General features: G+C 55.8%; 1 protein-coding gene across 6 annotated transcripts in view, besides 3 other annotated features; it reads left to right on the top strand.

Moving 5' to 3' along the window:
- Positions 6555-7284: a silencer, noted in NCBI's record as "silent region_20475". NCBI's record gives its function as "represses an Ori minimal core promoter by ATAC-STARR-seq in GM12878 lymphoblastoid cells {active_cell/tissue: GM12878}" and the evidence as "EXISTENCE:reporter gene assay evidence [ECO:0000049][PMID:35858748]".
- Positions 6638-12639, top strand: part of BRD3 (bromodomain containing 3) — a 38244-nt gene continuing 32242 nt past the window's right edge. For 2 of the 6 annotated variants that reach the window (XM_047423906.1, XM_047423903.1), the window contains exon 1: positions 6638-6699. The gene's annotated coding sequence lies outside the window, so the exon portion shown is untranslated. Of the gene's footprint in view, positions 6860-7159; positions 7242-12639 lie in introns of those variants that run through there. The other 4 variants (XM_047423905.1, XM_006717291.4, XM_017015165.3 and 1 more) reach the window with 2 other exon arrangements.
- Positions 7465-7714: a silencer, noted in NCBI's record as "silent region_20474". NCBI's record gives its function as "represses an Ori minimal core promoter by ATAC-STARR-seq in GM12878 lymphoblastoid cells {active_cell/tissue: GM12878}" and the evidence as "EXISTENCE:reporter gene assay evidence [ECO:0000049][PMID:35858748]".
- Positions 11686-12597: an enhancer, noted in NCBI's record as "H3K27ac-H3K4me1 hESC enhancer chr9:136927711-136928622 (GRCh37/hg19 assembly coordinates)". NCBI's record gives its function as "activates a minimal SCP1, AML or CMV promoter by ChIP-STARR-seq in naive H9 embryonic stem cells {active_cell/tissue: H9 hESC(naive)}" and the evidence as "EXISTENCE:reporter gene assay evidence [ECO:0000049][PMID:30033119]".

The following is a 12639-nucleotide window of genomic DNA, read 5'->3' as shown; positions in this document are numbered from 1 at the left end:
AAGGGAGAGGGAGAGGGAGAGAGGGAGAGAGGGAGAGAGAGGGAGAGAGGGAGAGAGGGAGAGCGAGAGGGAGACTCTAGTGAATTTTTAATTTCAGATGAGATTGGGTTCCTTCAGGGTGGTATGGCTGTAGATGGAATTTTTAATTTTAGTTATTGCTCTTTTCAACTCAATCTTTCTATTTGGTTCCTTTTTACAACTTCTCTTTATTTCTCTTTTCTACTTGGTGAGATATCATACTCATAGTTTCCTTTGGCTCTTTGTACATGGTTTTCTTTAGCTCTTGAGCATATTTAAGAGTTGATTTAAAGTCTTGGTGTAGTAAGTCCAATGCTTGGGCTTCCTAAGGATGAGCTCCTATTAATTCCTTTTTTTGTCCCTGTGTATGGGCCACACTTTCTTTGCTTCTTTGCATGCTTCGTAGCTTTTTTGTTGAAAACTGGACATTTCAAATATTATAATGCGGCAACTCTGGAAATCAGATCCTCCCTGTTGCCCAGGGATTGTTGCTGCCATCTAAGTGTAATTGCTGTTATTCATTTGGTGACTTTTCTGAACTTCTTATAACCATCCCTTTCCTGTTTCTCACCAGAATTTTCCAATTTTTATGCTTTTTGTCTCTGTTTCTCTAAGCTTCATTCTAGCTGATTTCCTCAGATCTATCTTTCAAGGAACTAACTCTTTCCTCAGTTTCGTCTAAGCTTGTTTTCTGAGATGGAGTCTTGCTCTGTCACCCAGGTTGGAGTGCAGTGGAACGATCTCAGCTCACTGCAACCTCCGCCTCCCGGGTTCAAGCAATTCCCCTGACTCAGCCTCCCGAGTAACTGGGATTACAGGTGCGCACCACCATGCTTGGCTAACCCTTTCCCTAAGATTTAAATTTCCATGTAGCCCATATTTTTTATTTTCCAAAGTTCTGGGATTATTTTCAAAACTTCCAGAAAATTTCATTAGTCTTTTTTTAAAAAGTTTATTTTATGTTTTTAATCCTTTTAAACACACTTATTTTATTGTCTTGGGGCTCCTTCTCTGTGGCTGGGGATATGAGGAGGGAACACAGAGAGGGCCATGGTGTCGCAGGACAGCAATGCAGAAAGCCTTCCTGTGGATGGCAAAGCCAAGATGGGCTGGCACATCATCTCGTAAACCATCAGCTTCAGGAATGCCAAGGACACCTACAAATTAAGCAAGGATCCCAAGAGATTTATAGGACCTTCCAGGCCAGCTCTGTCTCCATTACATCATGATGACTGATTTTTAAAACCAAACTCAATTTTGATTACCTAGTAATACCTGTCTGCCACAGAAAAGTGGAAAAAAACCAATGATCAAAAAGAAAAATAAAACTACCCACGATATTTATTACCCATATATAGCTGCCATGACCACATCAGCCCATCTCCCTGGCTCCCTTTCCTGCCTGCCTTTTCTCCCTAGCACTGAACACCATCAGGCACACCGTATGTTTTAGTAATTTATGATTGTCTGTCTGTCCCTAGGAGGGGGTCAGCTCCACAACAGCTAAGGCTTTGTCTTGTTCACTGCAGTGTCAGGAGGGGAGAGCATAAAAACTCCGTCAATACCTCTGGAGTGAATGAACGAATGAATGTTCTAGCTACGAGAGAGTATTCCTACCTCATTTATCCTCACGCCAATCCTATGAGGTAAGTGTTTTGTTTTGTTTTTTTGAGACCAAGTTTTGCTCTTGTTGCCCAGGCTGGAGTGCGATGGTGCAACCTCGGCTCACTGCAACCTCCGCCCCCCAGGTTCGAGCAATTCTCCTGCCTCAGCCTCCCGAGTAGCTGGGATTACATGCATGAGACACCATGCCCGGCTAATTTTCTATTTTTAGTAGAGACAGGGTTTCTCCAGGTTGGTCAGACTGGTCTCAAACTCCCGACCTCAGGTGATCCACCCACCTCGGCCTCCCAAAGTGCTGGGATTACAGACATGACCCACCGTGCCCGGCCTGTTTTTTTGTTTTGTTTTGTTTTTTGTTTTCTGAGACGTAGTCTTGCTCTGTCACCCAGGTTGGAGTGCAGTGGCGTGATCTTAGCTCACTGCAACCTCCACCTCCTGGGTTCAAGCAATTCTCCTGACTCAGCCTCCCGAGTAACTGGGATTATAGGTGTGTACCACCATGTCTGGCTAAATTTTGTATTTTTAGTAGATATGGGGTTTCACCATGTTGGCTAGGCTGGTCTCGAATTCCTGACCTTGTGATCTGTCTGCCTCAGCCTCCCAAAGAGCTGGGATTACAGGCGTGAGCCACTGCGCCCAGCAGAGGTAAGTATTTATTGTACCCATCTTACAGATGTGAAGACTAAGACTCAGTGGGGGTCACCTGTTCTGTCCTTTTTTTTCAGACAGGGGTTTCACTCTGCCGCCCATGCGTTGGAGTGCAGTGGCACAAACACAGTTCCCTGCAGCCTCAACCTCCTTGGGCTCCAGCGACTCTCCTGCCTCAGCCTCCTGTGTAGCTGGGACCACAGGTGTGCACCACCACACCCAGCTACATTTTTGATTTTTCGTAGATACTGGCACTCACTTTGTTGCCCAGATTGGCCTCCAACTACTGGGCTCAAGCGATCCCCCACCTCAGCCTCCCAAACTGTGGGACTGCAGGTGTGAGCCCCTGAGCCCGGCCCACCTGTCTTCTTGTCCTGCCTGCCTCCTTTTGACTGTCTTTCTGCAAGCACATTTATGCAGCTGCAGCACAGCTCTCTCTCCCTGTTCACCGGGGCTCCTAGGTTATACCAGAGACCTTTCCACTCTATGCCTTTAAGGATTTTGCTATGATTTTTGTGCAAACAATTTTCCATGTTGGGGACAGGAAGAACAGGAAAGTGAGAAGACTCAACTCCAAGTTCCCTCCTTTCCATGGGGCTCCTCACCCTTTTCTTTTTATTTTTTTGAGACAGAGTTTCGCTCTTGTTGCCCAGGCTGGAGTGCAATGGCACGATCTTGGCTCACCGCAACCTCTGCCTCCCGGGTTCAAGCAAATCTCCTGCCTCAGCCTCCTGAGTAGCTGGGATTACAGACATGAGCCACCACGCCTGGCTAATTTTGTATTTTTAGTAAAGACAGGGTTTCTCCATGTTGGTCAGGCTGGTCTCGAACTCCCAACCTCAGGTGATCCGCCCACCTTGGCCTCCCAAAGTGCTGGGATTACAGGTATGGACCACGGTGCCCGGCCTCCCACCCTTTTCTAAGAGAAGTTTAATGAACTTAGATCTGGGCATTTGCTTCCTCAAGTTAAATGCCTCACCTTCCCCTACCAAGGTGCAGTCTTCTGGAATATATTTTGTAAATGAAATATGAACCCACATTTGGGTTCATGGCTCAGGCTAGTAATTTAACCTAACTTTGCCTCCATTTTCACCTGTAAAGTAGACATAATCATCCCTACGTCATAGAACTGTTCCAGGATTCAGTAAAATGGTGTACATAAGGCTCTTGACACAGGGCCTGGCACATAGTAGGCACTAAATTATTGTATAATTAAAAACCTCTGCTCCTCCACCCTCCAGAGTTCTCTGTAGCCCAGCCTCTGCTTGGTGGAGACAGAAATTCATTTTCTTAAAAAGTTGTGCTGAGAGCTGGTCAGTCCTGGGGAAAGACACATGATAATGAAACTTTCAAGAAACTGATGTATAAACTTCAGTGCCATGATGTAACTGCTCTGCGCCTTAAGGCAGGATTCCCAACCCCTGGGCCTTGGACTGTTACTGGTCCGTGGCCTGTTAGGAACGGGGCCACACAGCAGGAGGTGAGTACTTGTGAGCCAGCATTCCCGCCTGCGCTCCGGCTCCTGTCAGATCAGCAGCTGCATCAGATTCTCACAGGAGCGCAAACCGTACTCTGAACTGCGCACGTGAGGGATCTAGGTTGTGAGCTCCTTATGAGAATCTAATGCCTGATGATCTGAGGCGGAACAGTTTCATGCCAAAACCATTATCTGCCCCCACTCATCCGTGGAAAAATTGTCTTCCATGAAACTGGTCCCTGTTGCCAAAAAGGCTGGGGACTGCTGCCTTAAGGGGCATTGTGGGTGAAGGAGGAGGAGGCAGCTGAGGCCCTGGCTCCTGTACTGGCTGGAGCCTGGCTCTGGGTCCTCCTTTAGATGTGAGCAGGTGGCTGCTTCACTGGTAGAGCTTGGGCTACACTGAGGTTTGCAGATGGAGGCTGGAGGGCAGGACAGAGGTGCAGAAGAGAACATTTATTCATTCAACAACTATGTATTGAGCACCCACTAGGTGCCAGATACTGTTGAAGGATGTTTAGGGATACCTCATGGACAAAGTGCTCTGCTCTCATGGAGCCGTGAGACAGCCCACAAGGAGGCTCAGGAAGTAAAACGTGAAGGTAGAGAGGTGAGTGATGGCCAAGGAGGCAAAGGCAGCAGCCTGCTCCTGATCACAGCCCCAACCTTTGCACATGCCCCCCTCCCTTACCAGAGCTGCGGGATCAGGTTCTATTTTTATCCTCCTGTGACAGGGGAGGAAACCTGGGTCGGGGAGATTAAGTGGCTTCACTTGGGAAATTCAGCAGTACCAGAGGTTAAAATTCCAAGAGCCTGAGCAGGAAGGGAGAGGATGATGGGCTGCTAGGGGCTGGAGGGGACTGCAGAGCCACCCCAAATCCCTTCTCAATGGCAGCCCTGCTGGCTTTCAGCTGTTTGCCACTGTGGCCCCTAAACTAGTCTTCAGAGATAGTAGCACAGGGGCTGAGATGCTCAAATGAGAGTTTCTGTCCTGTTCCCTTACAGATTCTGCTTCCTAGAGACTTCTCCAGCCTCGGGAAAGTTGGCTCCATGGAGCCATCCGGGCCACTCATGTGTGGGTGAGCAGCGGGAAGGGAAAGAAGGGGACCTTGGTGCTTCCATCAGAGCCAGTGCCCAGGGAGCGCCTGGGTTCCTGCCATACTCCTGGGGGTCACCTTAGGGCAGTGGGAGGCCCATAAGGGTTGGGGGCATTTGGTCAGCAGCCTCAGACACGCTGGCTGGTCAGGGCAGCCTGCTGTGTGCATGTACCTGGGTTCCTTGAGGTCAAGACCAGGCGGAAAGGCTTTTTGTTCTAGCCTTGGGAGGAGTGCAGTGGGGTCTGTGTAAGTGGTGAGGTGGCCATCCTGGTGGTCAGAGTGCTCAAGATACCCAAGGAGATGAGATGCAGACAGCAGGAATGGGTTGCAGCCTCCAAGGTGGCTAACACAGAAGCCTGTAGGTTGAGGAACTGCACCGGGGGTTTGGGGACACAACCAGGATGGTAGTTCTAAGGGAACTGCCTGCAGATCCTCACCTCTCATATTCCCCCTCCCCGACCTTCCTGCGCCTGAGGACTGCACTTTGTCCATTTTGCCAACTAGAAAGGCAAGGCTGGAACCTCGTCCTAGAGCCTTGCCCTGGAGTGTGAGAAGGTCCTGGGCTCCCAGCAGAAACAGAGGGACAGGATTGGGAAAGGTGTTGGCTTCCCCTGCAAACTCTTCCTAAGACCCCGGGGCTTTGGGTCTCAGCCGTCCTGCAAATTGGCTCTGTGACCTTGGGCAGGACCCTTTGCCTCACTGAGCCTGTTTCCTTACCTGTCAGCCTGGAACAGAACACCTGCCTTCTGGGTGAGCATGGGGATGAATTGTCTCTGTGCTGGCACTCACTTTGTGAATATTGCATAGATGTGTGCATTTCAGGCAGTGGAGCTGCTGCTCAACTTGGAACACACCTGGGGACCCCAGGGGCTTGGGGTGGGTGCAGCCCACACAAGGAAACTCGACCTTGCAGTTGGCAGGTTCAGCAGGCACCAAGGAACCTCGTTTTGTTTTTGACGTTTTTATTGGGGTCTAATGTACACAACGTGTAACCACCTTAAGTTACAGCTGGATTAAAATTGATTTATGTGGCCGGGTGCGTTGGCTCACGCTTGTAATCCCAGCACTTTGGGAGTCCGCGGTGGGCGGATCATCTCACGTCAGGAGTTTGAGAACAGCCCAGTCAACACGGTGAAACCCCATCTCTACTAAAAAATACAAAAATTAGCCGGGCGTGGTGGCGGGTGCCTGTAATCTCAGCTACTCGGGAGGCTGAGCCAGGAGAATGGCTTGAACCCGGGAGGCGGACGTTGCAGTGAGCCGAGATCGAGCCACTCACTACACTACAGCACTCCAGCCTGGGTGACAAGAGCGAAACTAACGTCTCAAAAAAAAAAAAAAAAAACAAAAACCAAAAAAACAACAAAACCCCCCCCCCCACAACTTGATTTATGTGTAAACCCGAGTCGTCATCACCCAAAACAAGATGCAAAACGTGTCCACGGGCTGAACCTTTCAAGATACAGAAAAAGGGCCAGGGGTGGCCCTCTCCCGGAATCTCAGGCTGGGAACCTGGTATCTAGTTCCCGCCCCTCACTGGGCAGATGGGGAAACCGGGGCTTGGGGCGAGAAGGTCCCCAGGCAGAGCTGGGAGCACCCCTAACTCTTCGCCAGCTCTGGGGACTTGGCGCCCTCTCCAGCAACAGCGAACTTGGGCGCCCGCGCCCCAGCAAGTCGGGTGGGGGAGATGGTGACACGGAGGGCGCGGCAGAGCGCGGCTCCTCCCCGGGCGGGGCCGACCTGCCCGCGCGCACCGACGCCCCGCCCCCCGCCCCGCGCGCGCGCTCCCGCCAGGCTAATTAGGCGCGCGGTTTGTTTACAAACACGGGCTCCCGGCAGGTGCGCGCCGCCCCGCCCGTGCGCGGCCGGGGTTCGAGGGTGGCTCCCGCGGGCCTCGGGGTGCCCGGACGGGGGCTGCGGTGCTGGCTGCGTGCCCGCTTCTTCCATGCCGTCCTGGGGCACCGGAAAATCCGCCGCCAGGCGCTGTCCCCGACACGGGGTGAGGAGAGCCGTGCGGGCCCGGGCGGGGAACGGCCCACGGGGTCCCAGCGTTGTTGCCCTGCCGGGCGGGCGCCGAGCCCCGCCCCCGCGCGCCCCCCGGGCCAGGCCCGCTCTCGGCCGGGTCGGCGGGGCGGGCGGGGGCCCCCGGGGCGGGGCGCGGCGCCGGCGGGGCCGGGACATGTAGTCCGCGCGCCCGCGGCCTCCCCTGGGCGGCCCCGGCGCGGGCCCGGCCGCGGACTACGACTCCCGCCAGGCGCCGCGGCGCAGCGCATGAGCCCTGCTCGGCTCCGGCGCGTCTATTATGCTGCCGGGGCCGGCGAGCCAAAGAGGAGCCGGCCGCGCGGGCCGGGAGGGGACGGCCGCCGGAGCCGCGAGGCCAAGTACGCCTTTCTCTTGCTTCCTTGCGCGCGCGGGGCGGCGGGCGGCGCGGGCGGCGGCGGGCCGGGCTGGGCCGGGGAGCGCGGCCCCGAGCGCCCCGCGCAGTCCGCCGGCGCGTCCGGGTGAACCGGGCGCCCGGGGCCGCCGCCGCCGCCGCCGCCTTTGTGCGCGGCCACGATGCAACAAAGCGCGGCGGCCGCCCGGGGTCGCGGCGGCGGTGGCGGCGGCGGTGGCGCGGGCTCCGCTCCCCTCCTCCCGCTCCCGCTTGGCCGCCTCCGTCCCGGACTCGGGGCGTCGCTGCGGCCGGGGCGCGCAGCCCGGAGTTGGCGCGGCCCGCGCGCCCCGCGCCAGCCCGGCCTCCGCGCGCCCTCCCTCACGGAAGGGATTTTTTTCCCCCTTTCCTCCGCCCGCCATCTTTCGAAGGGGGAACCCAGGGAGGACGCGGAGGGGGAAGGTGCGCGCGGCGGCCCCGGCCTGCGGCCGTGCGCTCCGCGGGGCCACTTTCCCCGCGCCTGTTCCGCCGGCCTCGCTCCCGAGCCGTTGCTGGGGCCCGCGCCTGGGGACCGTCGCCGCGCGCCGCGGCCGGGGCGGGGGGCAAGGCCGGGCTCGGCCCTGGGCTCTGCGCGGCCTCCTCCCAGAGTTACGGGCCCAGAGCTGACTTTGAGCCCCCCTGAGTTGCCGGATTATTGCACCCAAACCAGGGGGAGACCCAGTTCCCGTTTTGAAATCAGCCTGAAAATCGCTTAATCCGGGCGAGGGCGAGTTGGAGCGGGAGGGACGGGGGTGCTTCCCCTCCTTCCCACTTTTGGGGGGCGCCGGAGTGACAACGTGATACAAGCCCATCCGGGGAGAAATGCGCACCCCGAACCGTGTACACCCACATGGCCCTGGTGGGCTCTCTGTGAATAAAGCTGGGGCGTGCGGGAAGTCTTATTCCACCGGTTGCTCGTTCGGGGGCAGGGCCGGGATGGGGGCTTCGCGCGGCCTCCTTTCCCTGGAGGGCGAGAACTCGGCCCGCCGAGACCCACCGGGGGCAGGGACCCGGCGTCCATCGTGTGGGTTCCTCCGTTCGACCCAATCCTTGAGTGGTTGCGATCTTTAATTTTGGTTGAAAGCTTTCTGCTCAGAAATAGATACTGGGATTTCTCCCCCTTACATTAAACTTGGTCATTGTCTGCAAAAGTTAACCAGGAGGGGAGACTGTAGTGCATTGGTGGGCAGAGTAATTGGGCTGGAACTGCAAGAGGCAGCTTCGTGTGTCCCGTCCTCCCCCGCCCTACCCTGTGAGAAGGAACAGAAGAGGAAAAGAGTTTTCTTTTTACCCTGCTCTTTTGTAGGCTTTTCCCCTTACTCTTTTCTTTAAAATGGAGGGTTTTTTTTTTTTCCTGGGTCCATGTAGTATGCCTGGGGAGATCCTGGAATCTATGCAAAGTTGTATGGCATTTTTCTGGGGAAAGTAGTTTGTTACTGGCTTCCAACGGGGTCTAAGGAAGGTCTGAACCCCTGCAAGGGGCTGGCCTCGGGGGTTAGGGAGCCCTCCCTCCGGGTTCTTCCCTGGCAGCCCTGATGCAGCCTCTCATTTGCAAATAAAGGTCTGTGTTTGCCGTTTTCTCTGTTGAGGCCTTGATGGGTGCTGGTGGTTACTGATCATGAAAGATAAGGCACACGCTGTAACAGGACGGGCTGCAGGCGAGCGAGGGGCATTTCTTTCTGACCTTCCGGGTAGCCTCAGAGGCCCGGTGCCTCAGCAGGGCACCGGGTGCCTGGAAAGACTGTGGGAGCAGCTCCAGCCTGAGCCCTGCCGTTGGGACATCCGGGGAGGAGGGATTTCAAAAGCTTTCTCCGAGTGGGCAGTCACTCCATTTTTATTTTTGTTTTGTTTTTAGAAAGTAGAGTAATTACTTTCCTTTGACAACAGCTCGCGCCTGCTTCGGAAGTGAGTGAGCTTTGAATGAAGGACGGGACTTGCAAACAGTGCCTGCCCTACACTCCGAAGTAGTCATACCCAGAAAGTGAAAGTGGGGGTGTGCAGAGCGAAGCAGCCAGGCCTGCTGCAGCCGGTGCTACCTTCCTCTACCCTCTTCCTCCAGGCTCTGGAGATGCCAGCCGCGGGAGCCCTGTGCACCAGGCGGCAGTGATGGCCTTGTGCGATTCCTGGTGCCACCAGGAAGTGCCACCACTTTCCCTGAGGCATGGTGGCTCAGGGTTTCCCAAGTGGGGTGATTGGCACAAAACCAACAGCTATGCCCAGTTGTCGATGGGAAGAGCCATGTTTTGCTGTGGATACACACGGTACCGGGGCGGGGTATGGGGAACCGGGGCCTACTCTTCCCAGCGTTGCTGCCTGGGAGGTGGGGGCATGCCTGAAGTCGTGCTGCGGGTCTCTTGGTTTTCAAAGCAGTTAACGCAGTTGGTCAGAGGATCCTCCTCTTGCTTCCTTGACCGGTCATCAAAGTATAACTGACCTGACGGGGTTCCTGTCCTAGGCAGGTTCCTTTTTTTTTTTTTTTCTCTTCTCCTCTTGAGATGGAGTCTCGCATTGTTGCCCAGGCTGGAGTGCAGTGGCACGATCTCAGCCCACTGTAACCTCTACCTCCCGGGTTCTAGCAATTCTCCTGCTTCAGCCTCCCAAGTAGCTGGGATTACAGGCGTCCGCCACCACGCCCAGCTAATTTTTTGTATTTTTAGTAGAGACAGGGTTTCACTGTGTTGGACAGGCTGGTCTCGAACTCCTCACCTCGTGATCCACCTGCCTTGGCCTCCCAAAGTGCTGGGATTACAGGCATGAGCCACCGTGCCTAGCCAGCAGGTCCCTTATATCACGAAGCCAGTATCTGGTTGAAGCTAGAAGGTAACTGGATGAATCATGGTAGAATGCAAGGCTTCTTGCCGTAAAAGGTTTTGGAACTTGCGGGTCTGCCTTGGGCCTTCCCGACCCCTGTGGCTCCGCCCCCTTGTTGGAGCAGAAGAGATGCACAGGTAGCAAAGCATGATGGGGTGCCAGGTGCATTTGGGTCAGCGTTTGCCAAGAATGGCCTTGCTCCTGTGTTTTTGTTGGTACTGCCACCTTGTAGAGGTGCCCAGCTGGTGGCGGAGCATAGGGTTTTCTTTGCCTATTCTCCTTCCTGTGAAATCATGGGCACAGACATCATGGGCCCCTGTGCCCGGGCCTCCCTGCTCTGGTTCCTGGGCTCCTGCCATCTGAGAGGCTTGAGGGCTTGCTTATTTGTTTGTTTGTTTGTATTTTTAGTAGAGATGGCGTTTCACCATGTTGGCCAGGCTGGTCTCAAACTCTTGGCCGTGAGTGACCCACCCGTCTCTGCCTCCTGAAGTGCTGGGATTACAAGCGTGAGCCACCATGCTCGGCCAAGATGCTTGAGAGCTCATTTATTTATTTACTTATTTTGAGACAGAGTATCACTCTGTTGCCCAGGCTGGTGTGTAATGGCATGATTTCCCTTCACTGCAACCTCCACCTCCTGGGTTCAAGCAATTCTCCCTGGCTCAGCCTGCCAAGTAGCTGGGATTACAGGTGCCCGCCACCACGCCTGGCTATTTTTTTTAATTTTTTTTAATTTTTTAGTAAAGATGGGGTTTCGCCATGTTGGCCGGGCTGGTCTTGAACTCCTGACCTCAGGTGATCCACCCATCTCAGCCTCCCAAAGTGCTGAGATTACAGGTGTGAGCCACCATGCCTGACCGAGAGCTCTTTTAAAGAGAAAGTGTCACTTTGGGCCATTCACCTGTTGGTGGTTTAAATTGTAAGTCTTCTGGCCACTCCTGATTGAGCTCGCAGTGGAGCCAGGACCTGTGCGTGTGGCTGGAGGCTCGGACCCTGTTGTGTCCGTGCTGTTGGCTGTCTGCGTCTCGCACCAGTCTGTGGCTGTTCCCTGAGAGTCAGTTCGCAGGCTGCCTCCTCACAGGGCCTTCGGAGCCTGGTGTTGGGAAGATGGGGCGTGGAACATGCCCCCGCCCCCCTCCTTGCCGCAGGCCCCCAAGGTACTGAGTTCGTCAGAAGTTAATCCGGTATTGTGGGAGACAACTTTTCCAGCCACTTGGAAAAGTGTCCCGCTGAGGGTGCAGTGATGTTCAGGAGTCGCCGGCTGGATCTTTCTGAGTGTGGCTTGATAACCAGCTGCAGCATTTTGCAAAGCACCCAGTGGACTCGGGTGTGATCTGCAGAGGCGGCTGCTGGCCAGGCCTGGAGTCTGGGGCAGAGGGAGTGCCCTCAGTGCACCTGTGAGGACCTGGGACTAAGAGTCGGTACCTGGGAGCTGTGGGACTCTGGGGCGGGACGGCCTTAGCCTCCGTGTGAGCACTGACCGAGATGAGGCACAGATGCATCTGTGTGAGGTGCCCGGCCCCTGCAGGAGTGCTGAGTATTGTAGCTATAACCTGTCATGTGGCAGAAGGAAGAATCTACTATAAGCGGCTGAGAGGATGCCCTCCCTGTGCCATGCGTCACTGGAGCCTTGGCCTGACAATCCCACAAGGAGCAAAATGTGCAAAGGGGCAGCTGTGTGAGCCTGCGGGTCCAGGGTGCCACCCGCCCCCATCTGCCCACACCACAGGACAGAGCCCTGGGTATGCTGACCAGGCCCTCGCTGGTACCAGGGGCTGGGTAGGAGGCAAGGGTCAAGCACGGTGGCTCCGTGGGCTGTGGACTCACAGACAGATGTGCTGCATGCCCACGCTTTGCTCTTAGCTCTGCCTCCGGTCTGTCCCGGCAACAGGCCTGGGGGCGTCCTGCAGTCCTCGGCATTTGTGGTTGGGGGTGAGCAGAGAACATAGACGAAATAACCAAGGGGATGGTCTGAGAGCTGCGGCCCTGCTGGCCCCTTGTCCTGGCTCGGCATGGCTGAGTGGGACAGCAGTGAGGCCAGGCCTGTCTCCTGGGGCCGGGGTGTTTTGTGAGTTTGGTTCTTGTCAGGCCGGCTGAGAGGAGATGGAGCAGACAGATGGATGCTAGGTGGGCCTGCCGCAGCTTTGTTTTAGGAAGTGCGGAGCACCAGGGCCTGACCCTGAGGCTGTGTCCCTCTAAGAGCACGGTGTCTCCTTCCCTCTAAAGGGCCAGGTGCTGTCCTCACTCACTGCCCCTCTGAAGAGAGTCCCCTGCCTGAGTCGTGGCTCTCCTGCCCTTCCCAGACCCGTGGGAGACCCTGACTACGTGGCGGTGGCCTGGGGTTGGGAGGGCCTGACCAGTGTCTGTGGGGCCAACTTCCTCGTTCCCAGCATGTGTGGAGGGTCGGGCCTCCTCACGCGCCTCATGAGGGTCCCACGGGGGTAGAGCGTCCTTTGAGTCCTCTCTATTCGAGGAGTGGGTAGAGAGGCGGGTAGGGACGGAGCTTGGAAGAGGTGACGGGTTGTGGCCAGAAGGCTGTGGGGGCGTCATGGCAGGAA

The sequence above is a fragment of the Homo sapiens genome, chromosome 9 (genome assembly GCF_000001405.40).
Source record: "Homo sapiens chromosome 9, GRCh38.p14 Primary Assembly".
NCBI classification, from domain to species: domain Eukaryota; kingdom Metazoa; phylum Chordata; class Mammalia; order Primates; family Hominidae; genus Homo; species Homo sapiens.
Note: the sequence above shows the minus strand (reverse complement) of the source record. Positions and strands in the feature narration are given on the sequence as shown.